Below are 21118 nucleotides of genomic sequence, written 5' to 3'. Positions count from 1 at the left end.
AAAAGATGCTCAACATCACTAATCATCAGGAGAATGCAAATCAAATGACAATGAGGTATCACCTAACACCTGTAAGGATGGTGTTGTTGTAAAAACAAAAAACAAATGTTGGTGAGGTTGTGGAGAAATTCAAACTCTTGTACATTATTGGTGGGAATGTAAATGGTGCAGCCACTATGACAACATTTTTCTCTATCTTGTTTCAAAACAGTGTCATCCTTCTCAAAAACTGTGCCATAGTCTCCTACTGATCTCTCTGGATTTACTGTTGCCCACGTCCCATCCATTTACCCCACAGCAGCCAAGGGTATCTTTTCTTTCCCAGCTTTCTCAACATATGATTGACAAATAAAAATTGTACATATTTAAGGTGTACAATGTGATTTTTTGTATACATTATATGCATTTTAAAATCGTGACCACAATCAAGCTAATTAATATATCAATCACTTTCAGTAGTTACTTTTATTTCTTTTTGGTGGTGAAAACACTTGAGATCTACTCTTTTAACAAATTTCAAGTATGGAATACATTATTATTAACAAAAGTTATCATGCTGCACATTAGGTCTCAGAGCTTATTAATCTCATAACTGCAAGTTTGTACCCTTTGATCAATTTGTCTCCATTTCCTAACCTTCTGACCCCTGTTAACCACCCTTCTAGTCTGTTTCTATGATTTCAACAATTTTAGATTTCATAGAGAGATCTCCTAAAAATGTCAATTAGAGCTTCTGTTCCAAGATAGAGGATTGAACCTGTACATTTACTCCTCGACCTTTGGAAGGCCACTTTGCAATGAAAAATTAGGTAAAAATTCATGTGCCTCCATAAAAACAAAAAGAATGGGAGTAAAGTCATTAGGAACAGAATGCTTCAACACCTGTCTGCAGACTCAAAGTTGATGGAGAAATATTGACTGGTATAACAGATTAGAGGAGAAAGCTGAACCCCAGAAGAACTCCAGACAGACTCTTGACTCAGAGATACCTGAGGTAATGGAGGTAGGCGGCATGGTAAACACGGGTGTGAACATGTGTACACAGACACTAACTACCTTTTTCCCTTCTCTGATCCTATGTCTACCACAAAACAGGCTTTTATATGCTTTATGGAAAAGGTAGTTGTTTCTTACTTTTAAAAAAGTGGAATAAAATGTAAAATATTGCTTCCAGTGAGAGAAGCAATGTGGCCTTGTGTTCTGGCACATTATGTGTCCCTCCATGCACAGCAGGACCCACTCCTACTACACTTAAAATGAATGCTATTAGTAAACAAGCTTTACTCCCAAACCCTGTCTCAGCTTTTCTAACACTTACTTCTTAAACATAAATGAAAAGTCCAGGATCTATTGACCCTTGAGGAAAACTTTCAGCATGAAGGAAAAATAGCAAGAAGGAAACCATTATCAAGTTAATCTTGAAGGAAATACATAATTCAGGAAACTGAAAAGGAAAACCAAATTAAATCTAATTACAATTCTCAAAAAACATCAAAAACTATTTCACCTATTAAATTAAGGAGAAAGGGACAATCAAATAATGAATCTTTGAAAATTCAAAATATGGTCAAGAAGAGAAAGAATGGAAGATTTTGAAAATTAAGGAAATCTCATATACTGTAAGAGCAAAAGGCAGTGAGAAAAAGTTTGAGAGACTGGAGGTCTACCACTTGACTAATAGGATTTTGAGAGAGAAATCTGGAGAAAAAGCAGGAAAAATCTATCAAATAAATAATAGAGGTAAATGTTCAAAAGTTAAAGAACATGAATATTCTCATTAAAAGGCCCCTCTGAGTACCTAACTTGGTGAATTTTTTAAAAGGAGCTACCTTGTTATCATTATGAAATATCAAAACACCTAGGATAAAAAGATGGTTCTAAGTGTCCAGAGAGAGGAAAAGCTAAAGGCAACAGTACAGCTGTAAAAGAAGAAGAGCCATGCTGGTCTCAGACTTCTCCTCTGCAACACTGCTCACCAGAAGAAGGTGAATACGGTCCATTGGGCAGAGGGGACTCCAACTCCAGCCAAACTACCAATTAAATGTGAGGATAAAATAAAAGCAAGGCTAGGACATTACTGCCAGTGGATTTTGTTCATAGGAAGTTGCTGGAAAGTTTAAATGAAGAGAGAAGAAAAAGTGGGATCCATAGAATCGTGATTCGAATCCAAGAGAGTAATGAAGGAAATTCCCAGGTGACAGCTGGTCATCAAGCCTAGAGAATACTTCAGGATTGAGCAGGACTCCAGAAGGGATGGAACTCAAACAAAGGAGGACTTTGCGGATTTGATGGAAACCTTGAGATAGAGATCAAAAGACCTTAGGGACATGATAAAGGTACAGAGGAGGGGAAAATTAGAAACCAGATGAAGGACAAGTGATTATGTAAGTAAATGTGCACATAGCACATTACTTGGCTCTGCAGTAAATAATATTTATATTATTTACTGATGAAGACACTGATGATATTTAAATTTTAGAATCAATCTATACACATGGCATGGAAAACTCATACTTACAGAACAGAATGTAAATATGATCAGTCTGACATTTTAAATGTAAATTTAAAGAAGACAACACGGGAAGTATGGAAGTAGAGTCTAAGAGGGCATAGAGGAGAGTGGAAAGAAAGAGGTGTTAATATCCCAGTCTTATAACTTGAGGGGTCTAGAGGAAATATCTATACTTGATAGAACAAAAACATGCTAACTTTATCTAACATTAAAGCTCAAAAATTAACTAATAGAAGAACTAAAAAGAGTGGTTAACTATTTTAAAGATTGTGATGACATTGAAGATAACATAAGAAAGCTGAGTCCTCATCTATCATACTAAGAACTTAATAAAGTCTAAATTTAATAACTAGAGATAATTTTATAAGCATTTTATTTCGATACAGTTAAGTAACTATTATATGCGTTCAAAAAAACCCACTAAACAAACAAAAAATCTGAAGAGATAAAGTGTTGCCTCTAAGAAAGAGAGCTAGGAATGGGAAGAATAAGCCAGAAGACTTAGTTTTTTCACTAGAAGCCCTTCTATATTTTAGGAAGGAATAAATCTGATCATCTGGAGCAAAAAAAAAAAAAAAATGAGAGTGGGTTAATTCATTGACTTCAAGACACAACAGAAATATGTGCCACAAATGAGATGAAAACATGGATGGTTCCATGTTAAAAAATCATTGATAAAAAAACAAAAACTAGATGGATTGTCCAGTTAGGCACAGCACTGGAAGAAATGGGAGGCTTTGATTAGGGGTAGTTTAGAACCAGTGTGAAGCAGTCAGGTATGGGGACATGGAGGTCACATGAGACCTGGCCCCATTGGAGATCTTATAAGAGTTGGTGAAAAATCCAAGCAAAGATGGCATGTTGGAGTATTGGGAGAAGTACGTGCTTTAGATTCAGGCCAGAGTTTAAATTTTACTTCTCCCTCTTGCTGGTTCTCTGACCTTGGACAAACTACTTAACCTAATCTCTTTGAGATTTAGTTTCCTAATCTCTAAAAAAGTGATAATAATGAAATTTTATGGGGGTTTTAGAGGACTAAAGGAGGTAAAGAACACAGAGCCCTACCATAATAACCGCCCACAGAACTTACCATAATAATTCCCATTCTGCTCTTCTTCCTTTTCATAAGAGATTGTTAGGTTATTGTTAAACTATTTACTAGTGTAAATGTGTCCTGCAAATCAAATAGACCTGCAATATGGATCAAGGTGAATGCAAAAGATCTGGACACAGATAACATCAAGCACGTTGAAAGGGGTAACTATAAATCAGTGCAACATGGTCTGAAGTCAAAGGAAGGAGCTTAAAACCAAATACTGCTAGAGACTGGGTTGACAAGAGTAGGATAACTGCTGGAAAGAAGCAAATAATAGCCTGGGGCTCCATGCTTAGGACTAATACGAAGAACAACAGATTTCTGGAAAAAAAAAAAAAAACCTGACAATCCTTCCAAACCTACCTTAGACAGGTCTAGTTTACAGCATGAAAATGATAAAGAAGAGGAAGAAGAGGGAAGCTGGGGGTCATGACACCTTTAAAATGTGCCAGACTAACATAGATAAACATCTGGATGAAGGACTTGGCAGAGCATCAGAGGAATCTGCAATATATGCAAGAGCCCAGAGGATGCTGAGTCAACAGGGACGTGTTATTGCAGTGGTCTCCAAACTTGCTGGTACCAGGGATGGGTTTTGTGGAAGGCAATTTTCCACAGATGTGGGCAGGGTGTGGTTTGAGGATGATTCAAGCAAATTATATTTGTTGTGTGCTTTGTTCCTATTGTTATTAGTATATACTCACCATAATGTAGAATCAGTGGGAGTCCTGAGCTTGTTTTCCTGCAACTAGATGGTCCCATGTAGGGGTGATGGGAGACAATGACAGATCATCAGGAATTAGATTCTCATAAGGAGTGCACAACCTAGATCCCAACAGGGTTCCGGCTTCTATGAGAATCTACTGCCGCCACTGATTTGACAGGAGGTGAAGCTCAGGTGGTAATGCCCACTCGCCCACTTCTCACCACCTGCTGTGCGACCTGGTTCCTAACAGGCCATGGACTTGGTAGCAGTCCATGACCTGGGGGTTGGGGACTCCTGTGCTATTGGGCCAAAAATGAATAGACCACAAGGTCATCAGCAGAGGATGTTCACAGAATGCCTAATGATGGTCTAGTCCAGTGCACTCCCAAGGAGTGGCAGGTGGGTGGGGGTACTCATGAAAATGGTCAGACATGCTATAGAGGAAAAAGGAGCTGCATATCATATTCACCTCCAACTTATAGTGGGGGAAAATTGGTCACCTTGTGCCATTGTTATTATCATCACTACCATAGGTGAGCTACAAAAGGAAATTGTGTCCTTAAAGGAGAATCAGGCTGCTGTTAAAATCAACGGTCTTTGAAGAGGCTGAGGATATAAGATCAATTGGAACCATGAAATGAATATTACGAAGAGCATCATGGAGAAATTTTAGGCTTACATATCAATCAAAAACAATGGAAAAAAAGGCAGGTTTGCTCAGTTTTCAAATGTTTCCAAGAGGATGGAAGAAGGATGGGATTTGGGGAAGACGGAAGGAAGAGATAGGCTTCTTGGTAGGTGTGGGCACACTGTGCATACCATACTTCTGAGAGTAGGACAGGAATCCTGATCTCACTGGAAAGAGTGAGCTGTGGTCTGGGCTACTTAGTGACGATATGGGTCCCAGCCAGGCTGTAATGGTGTTCTAAAATTTTGCTCTTCACTCAAGCTTCACATTCTTACAGGAACCATTCCTAAATCTCACAATACAAGTAAGGTTCTATTAGAGGGAAAAAAACAAACAAACAAACAAACAAACAAACAAAAAAGAGCCTCAAGGGAGATCTCTGGTTCAATAAAGAATCTAGTGGGCATTAATCAGAGTCAACCATGGATGACTCCAAACTCCCAAAGTGAAACTGTCTCTGTAGGCACAAAACTGTTCTCCTTTAATGAGAGAAAAATATAGCCATACAGATTTTCCACAAAAGATAGAACAGACAGGAGGTGAATATTTTTATTGTTAAATTACGTTGTCTGTGGTAGCTTTAAATTTCTCCATTCCTTTTTTTTTTTTAATTAACTGCAGTATTCTGGAAGGACATAGAGGTCAGGTCACAAGTTAAAAAAGATGGACATGTCTTCTTTTCATAGATTCCTCAAGGGTCATGAAGGAGTCAACTCTGGTACTAAGCGAGTATCCTTTTGCTAAGTAGACCTTGATTCCTTGGTAATTAAGGAAGGGATATTATGCAGAGTTGATAATCCAGGAATGTGGCCGGAGCTAGAGCTCTATTTGTCTGTATGACTCAGTATACCATAAACCTCTTAGCTGGACCCATCCAAAAGAAGAAAAGAAATGCATACACACATACTCCAAGCATACCCCTCTCAAGAGGCCACCCACAGGCAGTGACAAATTACCAAGACCCAAACTAACTGCCTTGGTCTAGGAATTCAATTGGAATTTAATTGGAATTCAATTAAAATGCTCTTTCTTGCTAAAAGCTTGAGTTGTGTGAATTGGGGGTCACTCTGTCCTGGAGTTGAGAGAGGAGGATATCCCCGAGGGCCAAGGGTGCTCAGTCAAGTCTGAACAAGGTCCAAGCTGGACATTGAATTAAAAGCTGTGTTATTCAGAAGTGGTTGCTTCTTAATCAGACAATGTTTCCTGGAATATTGAAAATATCCAAGGTCTTTTGAGGTCCTAGGGAAATGATATTTATAAAGTACATCAAAGCAATGGAAAAGAAATTACATAAAAACATGAAAGGTATGAAGATTATTTATTTAAAAGTAGACAAAAATATTTAAAAGGCTTAATTTCAAACTTAAAATATTAAACTTAAAATATTTAAAAGGCTCATGAAAGTTGGATGCTGAGTTATATGGCTGAGGTTCAGGTCATGTCAGAACATTGGAGGTCCTAGAAGACTGAGATGAAAAGATATCTTCAGCATTGAGCAGAGGTGAAGAGTCAAAACATAGGAGAACAGCCAGGCATCTGTTACTTGAACCTCACAGGAATGTGGAACCCAAAATGAAATTCCAATAATGAGGTCCATTCAAATTGCAAAAGATAATCACAAAGTATATTTGTAGGATAGCTGAAAGTCCTAATTTACCAATGACAATCCCATGTTATACCTATTGTCCCATTCAGTTTAGCATTTGTTTTGGAGTTTCTATTTTTAGCCAAATATTATTATTAATGTTCACATTAAAATAAGCTTGGATGGATTTGAAGAACTGCACTTTATACTTCTAGTTTCTGTGAGGTTCTCATTTACTAATGTATGAGATGTCTTAGCACCAAACATGGTTCTCAATTTAACCTGTGATTATGTCTGAAAGACAATCAATACTAATTCATCTCTCTTTTCTCAACTTTTTTTGGTCCTCCAAAAGCAGATCCTGAGAAAATGATTCTCATGGAAGTAATTTGTTTTGGAGGTGAAGGAAAATGCAACTCGAGGAGTAAGGATGTGAAACAAGGGAAGAAAAAGAGCAAATAAAAGGTGTAGAGTCAAGCCAGCTACTCTGAAGGCAACTGAAGCGTAATTGTGCTGGGAAAACTCTGGGAGCCAGTGTAAAATGCTTGCCTTCTGGTTATCCTACCCACAGTGTGAGGAAACTGAGATATGTATACCCTGACTTTGATCAGTCATTGGTTGAAGACTTCTTCCAAGGGGTATTAATCCCCTGGCACTCATTAGCTACACTGCAGACAGCAAACAAAGCTTTGGCAATAAGAAAAAGCCTTCAAGAAAAGAAATACAGGTATGTGCTACTCTGGACCAATGGGATAAAAAGAGGTGGTTTATGGACTGGGCACCAACAGCATCTCATATAGTTTTCCTCTTGCACTCTTTATATCCAAGTGATTTCATTATCTTTATATTTTACCACCTGTTCTATATTCCCCTTACCCTGATCCATAACTTTTGCTAGTTTCAGTCCTTTGTCTGCTAGGGTAGCCACACCTTCATCTCTGAGATAACTGAACTCCTGGCTATACCATTGCCTGGTCATTGTTGTTACAGTGTACACATATGTTTTCCACGGTACATTGAAGTGCAAATGGATGTCCCAGTGAACCTCTTGACTTCCACTTACCCACCCTGGTTGCGTTAAGTAACAGCAACTCAATATCTTCATGATAATCAGGGTTAATCATCTCTGACAGTATAGTAACTCATTATTTGTCTATTGTTGGTATATGGGCACAAGAAGCCTAAAATAAACAAGTAGGAGTTGTGCTTTTAGGATTAGTGAAGCTCTCTGTCCCCTTTTAGAAGCATCCTTCTCTGGAACCAAGAAGATTTAGTCCAATAAATTCTACAATTGTAGAGACAGAGAGCACATATCATACAAGTGAGTGACTATGAATGATGGTGAGAGGGATCCCTCCTACTTTTACCTTTTGGTTTCCAGACCCATACATCTATCTATAGGGTGCTCAGCACTATGAAATTGTTATTAGTTCAACATACATAACATATCTTGAAGGATAATACCCAGTCTGATGCCTTTGGGAGACAATTCCATTATTTTATCAGGCTACCAGCTTCTAGGTCACATTGTTTATGGTAAGCTCAATGGACCTCATAATGTATAACCTTATTGTACCCCCTTCACTGTAATATAGGTCTTTTGATCAAAGTCAGCGTCAGATTACATGACAATAAACCAAACAATGAGCCCTTGGATAGTGGTTCTAGTCAAGAAACTGAGGACAGGGAAGACAAACCCAACCTTGGATGATTGTTAATTCAATAGGGATAAATCACTGCCAGAGGTATATCTTAGTCGATTTGGGCTGATATAAAAGAAATATTGTAAACTGGATAGTTTATAAACAATAAACATTTATTTTCACAGTTCTGGAGGTTGGGAAACCCAAGATCAATGTGCCAGCAAATTCAGGCTCCACCTCTGAATACTTTCTTTTCTTTTTTTTTTTTTTCTAGTCTCCTCTTTCCTGATTGTTTTTTTATATACTTTAAGTTCTGGGGTACATGGTCTGCTGCCTTTTTTTCAGAGATGCCCTGCGTAGAGAGGCAGTCTGGCCACAGCGGTCTTGCTGAGCTGTGGTGGGCTCTGCCCAGTTCAAATTTCCTCTGAATACTTTCATATCAGGGATTAGGTTTAAAAATATGAAAGCCATTTTGGCCCATTCCTCCTAAACGGCCCTTCATGCTATGTCCTCACATGGTGGATGGGGCTAGTCAGCTCTCCAGGATCTCTTTCATAAGGGCACTAATCCATTTCATGATGATAGAGCCCTCAATCTGATCACATCCCAAAGCCCTCACCTCTGAATACCATCACACCTATGAATTTTGTTAAACACAAATATTCAGATCATAGCAAGATAGATGTGATTCAATGTTTTCAATTTCCATTAACTAATATCCTTCAAGATTTGTCCAATATATCTAGGGCTCAGCATGAATCTCTGCTGATAATAGGTTGGATGTTCATCAACGTCAATAACTAAATCAGTCTTAGTGAGGGAGAGTTCATCCTTTCGTACACATACATAGACCCCATCTCTATCGTCATGGCTGCTCTGATTGTGGGCACATTATACAAGCCCTTGAGTGACCCAAAACAGAGGCTGGCTGACCCCTACTGAACAGCTCATCTATCCAGCTCCTTGTTCGGTGTCTTCTATGCAATGGATACTCTCTGATAGGCATTAATGTGAAACATAAAGTTCTGTGTGCTTTGTGCCCACTGTACAGGTTCATCCACAGTCTTCTTTTCTAGACCAATGTCTCTGATTTTGTAACATTTCATCTTTGTAGTAATCTGGCTGTCAAGTGACCAGTTCTATAATTCCATTCTGAGGATCTACTTCCTAGGAACACTTCTGGTACTGTATGTCTTTACTTGGATTTCTCCATAATCAAATTCTGAGTAAAACAAAATTGATGTAAAAGCAGTTTAAGAGATGAAGGAAAAACTAGGAGATGAGTAGGAAAGTATGATAAGGGAAAACATCCAATAAGTAATGCATTAACAAACTGTAAGAACTTAGAGCTTAATGCTGCTAGTAAAATTCTGGGAAACCATTGCCAAACATGCCTTAGAATGATCTCCTCGGCCTGGCATGGTGGCTCACGCCTGTAATCCCAGCACTTTGGAATGCCAAGGCGGGTGGATCACGAGATCAGGAGATCAAGACCATCCTAGCCAACATGTTGAAACGCTATCTGTACTAAAAATACAAAAGTTAGCTGGGCGTGCTGGCATGTGCCTAAAATCCCAGCTACTCTGGAGGCCGAGACAGAAGAATCGCTTGAACCAGGAAGTTGGAGGTTGCAGTGAGCTAAGATGGCGGCACTGCATTCCAGCCTGGAAACAGCAAGACTCCGTCTCAAAAACAAAAAAGAATTCTTTCCTCAAGGGGAAAAAAGCTGGGGTATGTATATTTCAATCCCTGGCAATCATTGGTTGTGGGATGCTCCCACGTGTGTGGGGGGACTTTTGCACCTTAGATGACGGCTTCAGTGGAAAGAGATAGCCTTTAAGCAAAAAGATGCAAGAATTAGCAATTGGAAACTGGGATGCTGTAAAGTGAAATGGTAAAGGTTATGGGGATATGGACTGGAAAGTTGAGAGCATATGCTATACCACCCCTTTCCAGCTGCAATTAATTAGCATCTCCCTTTCATGGTCAGCATGATGGGCGGTCACTGGTAAAATGTATTGTGTTCTGACTCCAGAGGCTAGAGATAGCTAGCTTTCATTTTCCAGTGTCTGGGCCTAGTAGGTATTCAGGCCTGCTGTCCCTGCTGGCCACTTGGTGGACTCACACAAGTCAGTTTTGCCATGGCCTGTGCTTATCCTGGGAGATGTAGGAAGCTGCCAGACCACACAAGATTGAATTAGTGGAGAATGTAAGAAAATATAGGTTAAATATACATCAAACATGTGAGGGTAATAGAAGTATATAGACATTAATCTAAATATTTTTGATAGAGTGCCTTGTCATTTTTTATATATTAATTTGCAACTGTTTATTTTACTTTTTATAATGTTTATTTGGATGCAAAGCCTTTCCCAGCAATGAGCTTAAAAAATAGAAATGCATATTTAATAAAATTTAAATAATGAATTTCCATTTATCAAGAAAGTTCATCCTAAATATGTGACATGCATAAAATGTTTGTTGACATTTATGAATCACCAGTGGAGCTATAATGATGGTTATCACATGAAAACCAAAGACCCAGGTCCGCTGAAGAGGCACTGATATCTGCCTCAAAAGTTAGTAGTTACTGTATTGAATGAAAATAATCTAACACTGGATGCTACAAAAGGTGTGTGTCTATAACACTCTGTAAAACATGAATTTTAAGGCAAATAATTTAACTTTTACGTTCAGTTCAAATTTTCTTGTGCATGTAAGAAAGCTAATGTGATATCTATTAAAAATATTGGGTCCATCAGCAGAAGACCTTCATGAAAAGTTAAAATATGTCAGTTTTATGTCAGAGGGATGATTCAACTCAACAAAGTCAGTTAACTTAATTCCAATAACAATACTTTTTTTAGTCCAAATAACGGATGCAATGTAAAACATTTGGAGGTTCATCCTACCAAAAGTGAAAAATCTGACATTAGTCACTTGTATTAGTCTGTTCTCATGCTGCCATAAAGAACTGCCTGAGACTGAGTAATTTATAAAGAAAAGAGTTTTAATTGACTCACAGTTCCGCAGGGCTGAAGAAGCCTTGGGAAACTTACAATCGTGGCAGAAGGGGAAACGAACACGTCCTTATTCACATAGCAGCAGGAAGAAGTGCTGAGCAAAGGGGGAAAAGCTGCTTATAAAACCATCAGACCTTGTGATAACTCACTCACTATCACGAGAACGGCATGGGAGTAACCACTCCCATGATTCAATTACCTCCTACCAGATCCCTCCGATGACATGTGGGGATTATGGGAACTACAATTCAAGATGAGATATGGGTGGGGACACAGCCAAGCCATATTATCAGTTAAAAGTCAGCAGTGAAGATAAAATTTTCAGTTTTACAGTAATAATAGGAATACCAATTTTGGTGGAATATAGTATCATACTAAAGTTAAGAAACAGAACATGATGTACTTGGATCAGTTTGATACACACATAATACATTGTTGTGTCCAAAAAAACTGTGATTGCCTAACAATCAAATCAGAAGCTGCAGTTGTAAGAATTTACAAATATATATATATATGTGTGTGTGTGTGTGTGTGTGTGTGTGTAACATAACTGAACTAAAAAATTTTGTAATGGAAAGAATGTTGAATACAGGAAATGCAGCAACATAGAAATAGTTTCTTTCTTTGCTTCCCATCAGCAATAATATCTTAGAAATATTTGAGCCATTGAAGAATTAATTTGTGCATTAACCTAAGTTTCTTTCAATGATATTATATGTTTTTTTAATAAATGAGTCTTTTAAGTTTTGTTGCATTTTATTCAAAATTAGCTGAAAACATTTAATCAAAGTATTCAACAAATAAAGAGCCATTCGTTGAATTTCAATTTCAGCTTTTGGAAACTTTGAGCATATGGCAATTATTGAAAACAAAATTTGCAAGCAGGAAGTTAGTGAAATTTATGCCTAAGAAAGCAAAGAAGGAACACAACAAATTAAATAAGTGATCAAATGGTATACAAGAATTAATTTTGAATTTCATTGTGTTTTTATTCTGTTGATATTTGGGAGCAATCTTTTGATGGATTGAATGCATTTATATTGTATACTGAAATTAAATTAAATTGAGAAGGTTTATGATTTTACAATATCTAAATGTAGCCAAACATTCAAAAGGATCTATATACAAAAACAACTTATTTGATGAATTTTGTCATGTAAAAATATTTGTCAAAGAAAGGTTCCTCTAAATGAGGAGGAAAAGACAGCACTGTGACAATATTAGAGTAAAATTGTTATATATTTCAGTATACAGAAAATTTGAACTTCAAATAATTTCCATTTATCAGAATTTGCTTCATGCTTGACACTTACCTCAGCACCCGTGGACAAAACTTTTTTTTTCAGCTTTCTTGAAGTATAATGCAGAAATTAAAATTGTATGTATTAAAGTTGTACAACAGGCTGGGCGCAGTGGCTCACGCCTGTAATCCCAGCACTTTGGGAGGCCAAGGCGGGTGGATCACGAGGTCAGGAGTTCGAGACCAGCCTGGCCAGTATGGTGAAACCCCGTCTCTACTAAAAATACAAAAAATTAGTTGGGCATGGTGGTGCATGCCTGTAGTCCCAGCTACTCAGGAGGCTGAGACAGGAGAATTGTTTGAACCCAGCAGGCAGAGGTTGCAGAGAGCTGAGATCATGCCACTGCACTCCAGCCTGGGTGACAGAGTGAGACTCCATCTCAAAAAAATAAAATAAAATAAAGTTGTACAACATAAAGTTTAGGTATACATATACACATTGTGAAATGATTACCAAAGTCAAGTTAATTGCCGTATCAGGCACCTCACCTCACATCATTACCTTTTTTGTCTGTGTGGTGAGAATATTTAAGATACACTCTCTTTAGTACATTTCAAGTATACAACGTTATTATTAACTATAGTCACCATGCTATGCATTAGGTATCCAGAACTTACTCATCTCATAATTGCAAGTTTGTACCCTTTAGCCAACATCTCCCATTTCCTCACCCTCTGACTCCTGTTAACCATCCTTCTACTCTTTGTCTATGAGTTCAACTGTTTTTGATTTCACATACAAGTAAAAAAACATTTTCTTAGTTTAAAAGAAAATGGTTTATTTCCATAAGGATATCCAATTGATCTAAGCAACATTTATTGAAAAGTCCATTCTTTTCCCAACTGAACTCCAATACCACATGTCATAATTAACTGAAGATATATGGTAACTCTTTTTTTTTTTTTTTTTTTTTTTTTTTTTTTTGAGATGGAGTCCTGCTCTGTTGCCCAAGCTAGAGTGCAGTGGTGCGAGCTCGGCTCACTGCAACCTCCGCCTTCCGGGTTCAAGCGATTCTCTTGCCTCAGCCTCTCGAGTAGCTGGGACTACAGGCTTGCGCCACCATGCCCCACTAAGTTTTGTATTTTCAGTAGAGACGGGGTTTCGCTATGCTGGCCAGGCTGGTCTCCAGTGCCTGACCTCAGGTGATTCCCCTGCCTCGGCCTCCCATGATGCTGGGATTACAGGCTGAGCCACTGCGCACGGCCAAAGATACATAGTAACTCTTTGTATGCAACCATGTAAGTCCTCCAATTTTCTTCTTCTTCAAGGTTGTTTGAATTTTATTGGTTCTTTGTATTTACATATAAATTTTAGAAGCAGTTGTTCAATGAGCCCACATCCCAAAAAACCCTTTATGGTTTTTATTGGGATTGCATTGAATCTATTGAATGTATGAATCAGTGTGGAAAACAAATCTTAAAATTATGAGGGTTGTTTTGGATATATAAGCATGATACATCTCTATAATTAAGTGTCTTTAATTTCAGCAATTTTGTAGTTATCAGTGTGGAGGTCTTACACACCTTTTGTTAAGTGTATTCCTTAGTATTTGACGATTGTGATGCTATTACATATGGTAATGTTTTAAATTTTTATTTTTAATTGTTTGCTGCTAGGAGGTAGAAATGCATTTTTTATTGTTTATTGAACTTGTATTCAGTGACCTTGCTAATTCACACATTAATTTGAATATTTTGTTTGTACATTATTTCGGATTTTCTACATACACTTTCTGATATTTATAAATTTTATTTATTCATTTATTTATTTATTTATTTTGCTTTCTGTGTTAGCTAGGGCTTCCTGTACAACTTTAAACAGAAGTGTTAAGAGAAGACATTTTGTCTGTGTCAATAGATATTTGTATGGAAAAATGTAAAACACTGTTTCCAAAAATGAATTTAAGGTAGCTAATAGACCTAAATTTTAAAGTAAACTAGTTAATCTTCTAAAGAAAACACAAGAAAATATCTTCATTATCTTGCAGAAGGCAAAAAATTCTCAAACCAAACATGGAATATTCAAAACATAAAAGAAAATATTGAAAAATTGAAATTCATTATAATATAAAACTTTTGTTCATCAAAACACACCACTAACAGAGCAAAAAGGCAAGCCATAGAGTGGGAGAAAATATTCACAAAATAAACCCAATAATACTGTATTAAAGAGAGAGAGAAAGAAAAGAGAGAGAAGGACACATTGTGATAATCTTAAAAAATAGCAGAAAACGTCCCTGTCTGACAGCTCTGAAGAGAGCAGTGGTTCTCCCAGCATGGAGTTTGAGCTCTGAGAGTGGACAGACTGCCTCCTCAAGTGGGTCACTGACCCCCGTGTAGCCTAACTGGGAGACATCTGCCACTAGGGGCTGACTGACACCTCATACAGCGGAGTGCCCCTCTGAGATGAAGCTTCCAGAGGAAGGAACAGGCAGCAATATTTGCTGTTCTGCAGCCTCTGCTGGTGATACCCAGGCAAACAGGGTCTGGAGTGGACCTCCAGCAAACTCCAACAGACCTGCAGCTGAGGGTCCTGACTGTTAGAAGGAAAACTAATAAACAGAAAGGAATAGCATCAACATCAACAAAAAGGACATCCACACCAAAACCCCATCTGTAGGTCACCATCATCAAAGACCAAAGGTAGATAAAACCACAAAGATGGGGAGAAACCAGAGCAGAAAAGCTGAAAATTAAAAAAGCCGCGTGCCTCTTCTCCTCCAAAGGATCGCAGCTCCTCGCCAACAATGGAACAAAGCTGGATGGAGAATGACTTTGATGAGTTGACAGAAGTAGGCTTCAGAAGGTCTGTAATAACAACCTTCTCCGAGCTAAAGGAGGATGTTTGAACCCATCGCAAAGAAGCTAAATATCTTGAAAAAAGATTGGATGAATGGCTAACTAGAATAAACAGCATAGAGAAGCCCTTAAATGACCTGATGGAGCTGAAAACCATGGTATGATAACTATGTGACACATGCACAAGCTTCAGTAGCCGATTCGATCAAGTGGAAGAAAGGGTATCAGTGATTGAAAATCAAATGAATGAAATGAAGCGAGAAGAGAAGTTTAGAGAAAAAAGAGTAAAAAGAAATGAACAAGGCCTCCAAGAAATATAGGACTATGTGAAAAAAACCAAATCTGCGTTTGATAGGTGTACCTGAAAGTGACGGGGATAATGGAACCAAGTTGGAAAACACTCTGCAGGATATTACCAAGGAGAACTTCCCCAACCTAGCAAGGCAGGCAAACATTCAAATTCAGGAAATACAGAGAACACCACAAAGATACTCCTCGAGAAGAGCAACCCCAAGACACATAATTGTCAGATTCACCAAGGTTGAAATGAAGGAATAAATGTTAAGAGCAGCCAGAGAGAAACATCGGGTTACCCACAAAGGGAAGCCCATCAGACTAACAGTGGATCTCTCAACAGAAATTCTATAAGCCAGAACAGAGTGGGGGCCAATATGCAACATTCTTAAAGATAAGAATTTTCAACCCAAAATTTCATATCCAGCCAAACTTAGCTTCATAAGTGAAGGAGAGATAAAATCCTTTACAGACAGGCAAATGTTGAGAGATTTTGTCACCACCAGTCCTGCCTTACAAGAGCTCCTGAAGGAAGTACTAAACATGGAAAGGAACAACTGATACCAGCCACTGCAAAAACATGCCAAATTGTAAAGACCATCAATGCTAGGAAGAAACTGCATCAACTAGCGAGTAAAATAACCAGCTAACATCATAATGACAGGATCAAATTCACACATAACAATATAAACCTTAAATGTAAATGGGCTAAATGCACCAATTAAAAGTCACAGACTGGCAAATTGGATGAAGAGTCAAGACCCATCAGGGTGCTGTATTCAGAAGACCCATCTCATGTGCAGAGACACACATAGGCTCAAAATAAAGGGATGGAGGAAAATCTACCAAGCAAATGGAAAAAAAAAAAAAAAAAGCAGGGTTTGCAATTGTAGTCTGTGATAAAACTGACTATAAACCAACAAAGATGAAAAGTGACAAAGAAGGCCATTACATAGTGATAAAGGGATCAATTCAACAAGAAGAGCTAACTAACCTAAATATATATGCACCCAATACAGGAGCACCCAGATTCATAAGACAAGTCCTTAGAGACCTACAAAGAGACATAGACTCCCACTCAGTAATAATGGGAGACTTTAACACCCCACTGTCAATAATAGACAGATTGTCAAGACAGAAGGTTAACAAGGATATCCAGGACTTGAACTCAGCTGTGCACCAAGCAGACCTAATAAACATCTATAGAGCTCTCCACCCCAAATCAACAGAATATACATTCTTCTCAGCAGACATCACACCTACTCCAAAATTGACCACATAGTTGGAAGTAAAGCACACTTCAGCAAATGTAAAAGAACAGAAATCTCAACAAACTGTCTCTCAGACCACAGTGCAATCAAATTAGAACTCAGGATTAAGAAACTCACTCAAAACCAGACAACTACATGGAAACTGAACAACCTGCTCTTGAATGACTACTGGGTAAATAATGAAATGAAGGCATAAATAAAGATGTTCTTTGAAACTAATGAGAACAAAGACACAACATATCAGAATCTCTAGGACACATTTAAAGCAATGTGTAGAGGGAAATTTATAGCACTAAATGCCCACAAGAGAAAGTAGGAAAGATCTAAAATTGACAGCCTAACATCACAATTAAAAGAACTAGAGAAGCAAGAGCAAACACATTCAAAAGCTAGCAGAAGGCAAGAAATAATGAAGATCAGAGCAGAACTGAAGGAGATAGAGACACAAAAAACCCTTCAAAAAAATCAATGAATCCAGGAACCAGATTTTTGAAAAGATCAACAGAATACATAGACCACTAGCAAGAATAATAAAGAAGAAAAGAGAGAAGAATCAAGTAGACACAATAAAAAATGATAAAAGGGATATCACCACCAATCCCACAGAAATACAAACTACCATCAGAGAATACTATAAACACCTCTATGCAAATAAACTAGAAAATCTAGAAGAAATGGATAAATTCCTGGACACATACACCCCCCCAAGGCTAAACCAGGAAGAAGTTGAATCCCTGAATAGACCAATAACAGGCTCTGAAATTGAGGCAATAATTAATAGCCTACCAACCAAAAAAACTCCAGGACCAGATGGATTCACAGCCGAATTCTACCAGACTTACAAAGAGGAGCTGGTACCATTCCTTCTGAAATTATTCCAATCAATAGAAAAAGAAGGAATCCTCCCTAATTCATTTTATGAGGCCAGCATCATCCTGATACCAAAGGCTGGCAGAGACACAACAAAAAAAAAAAAAAAAGAGAGAGAATTTTAGGCCAATATCCCTGATGAACATCAATGCGAAAATCCTCAATAAAATACTGGCAAACAGAATCCAGCAGCACATCAAAAAGCTTATCCACCACAATCAAGTTATCTTCATCCCTGGGATGCAAGGCTCTCTTAACATATGCAAATCAATAAACGTAATCCATCACATAAACAGAACCAAAGACAAAAACCACATGATTATCTCAATAGAGATAATCTTACACCTTATACAAAAATTAACTCAAGATGGATTAAAGACTTAAATGTTAGACCTTAAACCATAAAAACCCTAGAAGAAAACATAGGCAATACCATTCAGGACATAGGCACGGGCAAGGACTTCATGACTAAAACACAAAAAGCAATGGCAACAAAAGCCAAAATTGACAAATGAGATCTAATTAAACTAAAGAGCTTCTGCACAGCAAAAGAAACTACCCTCAGAATGAACAGGCAACCTACAGAATGGGAGAAAATTTTTGCAATCTACCCATCTGACAAAGGGCTAATATCCAGAATCTACAAAGAACTTAAACAAATTTACGAGAAAAAATCAAATAACCCCATCAAAAAGTGGGTGAAGTATATGAACAGACACTTCTCAAAAGAAGACATTTATGCAGCCAACAGACACATGAAAAAATGCTCATCATGACTGGTCATCAGAGAAATGCAAATCAAAACCACAATGAGATACCATCTCACACCAGTTAGAATGGCGATCATTAAAAAGTCAGGAAACAACAGGTACTGGAGAGAATGTGGAGAAATAGGAACACTTTTACACCATTGGTGGGAGTGTAAACTAGTTCAACCATTATGGAAGACAGTGTGGTGATTCCTCAAGGATCTAGAACTAGAAATACCATTTGACTCAGTGATCCCATTACTGGGTGTATACCCAAAGAATTGTAAATCATGCTACTATAAAGACACATGCACACGTATGTGTATTGTGGCACTATTCACAATAGCAAAGACTTAGAACCAACCCAAATGTCCATCAATGATAGACTGGATTAAGAAAATGTGGCACATATACACCTTGGAATACTATGCAGCCGTAAGAAAGGATGAGTTCATGTTCTTTGTAGGGATATGGATGAAGCTGGGAACCATTATTCTGAGCAAACTATCGCGAGGATGGAAAACCAAACACCGCATGTTCTCACTCATAGGTGGGAATTGAGCAATGAGAACACTTGGACACAGGGCGGGGATCATCACACACCAGAGCCTGTCATGGAGTGGGGGGAAGGGGGAGGAGAGAGGGACAGCATTAAGAGAAATACCTAATGTAAATGACCAGTTAATGGGTGCAGCACACCAACATGGCACATGTATACATATGTAACAAACCTGCACATTGTGCACATGTACCCTAGAACTTAAAAGTATAATAAAAAAAATAGCAAAAGGTTTGAACAGGTACTTCTCAAAAGAGAAAATCTAAGTGGCCAAAAAGTAAATGAAAGGTGCTCAATGCATTAGTCACTAGGAAAGTACACATTAAACTACAATGAGACTTATTACCGTATACCTACAGAATGGCTAAAATTTAAAAGACTAACAATATCAAATGTTGACAGACATGTAGGGGAACTAGAACTCTGTTCATTAAGTGAACTACTTTGAAAAACGTTTTGGCAATATCTCCCAGAGTAAACAAATGCCTACCCTACCCAGAATTCCACATGCCAGTAGTAGGAATGTGTATATATAATATATACGTGAAATGACTTTCTATGTCCATCAGGAATGGTATGGCGTCTACTGGGTGCCAACCCTTTGCAGAGCTGAAGTAATGCCCTCCAAGATATGTTATATGCTGTAATTCATCATTCGGTATATGGTATTATTTACCCATAGTTAGAAGACATATGTCTGGACATCAAACAATGGAAATGGGAGTGGCTCCTTTCACTATTACCCCTAAAAATTCAATAGCAAAATTTTACAACTTTTGAACCATGCCCCAAAGAGTTAAAGAAACCAGTGACTAAGAGAAATTCTTGAATTTACAGGATGGCAGATAAAAAACAAAACAATTTGTCGAAACTCTGAAATTCCCTCAGCTTGTAAGATAACAAAACTAGCTGAAATTGTAACCAATATACCAACTGGAGTCTGCACAGAACAAGCTTACTGATATCACAGTCTGAACTTCCACCACATGTTTCATACTAATTTCCCCTGGATTTGCACATGTAATCCATGAAATAGCATGAAGAAATAACTGCATATGGCTGAGGACTTTCTAGACCTCCCCTTTTCAGTCACCAGTCATCTACTAATCCTAGCATCCACCACCTAAATCTTTCATAATAAAATTACTACCTAAAAGCCAGCACAGGGAGACAGATTGTAGCTGGACTCCTGTCTCGTTGGTCAACCTACAATAAAAAGCTTTTCTTTTCTCAAAAACCTGGTGTCATAGTTTTGGCTTCTAACCCATTGTTTAGTAAGCCCTTTTGCTCGGTAACACTTTGACCTCTGCTGGTTCAAAGATCTTAGTGCCTAGGAGGTGTGTGTTTCCACCAGAGTACATAAAAATGGTTTTATTAAAATAGAAGCTGAGACTGCCACCTGGCCACCTTGCGTTCCTCATGCCACTACATTGGGTAAACAATAAAGTTAGTGACTGAGATGACTGATCCCAACTATCAAGTGGAAATTGAGTTCTTACTCTGCAACAAGGCAAGGAGGAGTGTTGTATTTATTTTCTATTGTTGCATAACAAATTACCATGAATTTAGTGGCTAAAAACAATACCCACTTTTATAGCTCACAGCTCTGTAGATCAGAAGTCTGGCACTTTGTGGCTGAGTTCTCTTCCCAGGGTATCACAATGCTCAGAGAAACATCCCATAAATTGGTTCCAGATTGAGAAGGTATGGTGGATAAAGCGATGCTGCCTTGGGAAAATATCCAAATGTACGTACGTTTTCCTGGTTGAAAAAATGCTTAGTGTGCTGTGGCTGTCAATTTTGTAGCAGAGAAACTGAAAAGGTTTTGTTGTTGTTGCAATAAACAATGGTTAGATCACAAAACAGGTTGGGACTGTGGCTGATGAAGCAGAGAGCCTTGTTAGGAAACACAGGAATTATGTTTCTGCAGAGTGCTCCTTATACGCAGGTTCAAAGCCTGTCTCAGCTATTTGCTTATTTTGTGGTTAAAGAAGATACCGTCCCTCTCCAGACTCTAGTTTCA

Source organism: Homo sapiens, chromosome 17, assembly GCF_000001405.40.
Source record: "Homo sapiens chromosome 17, GRCh38.p14 Primary Assembly".
In the NCBI taxonomy this organism is placed as follows: Eukaryota; Metazoa; Chordata; class Mammalia; order Primates; family Hominidae; genus Homo; species Homo sapiens.
The sequence above is the reverse complement of the archived record's forward strand: the minus strand, read 5'-3'. Positions refer to the sequence as shown.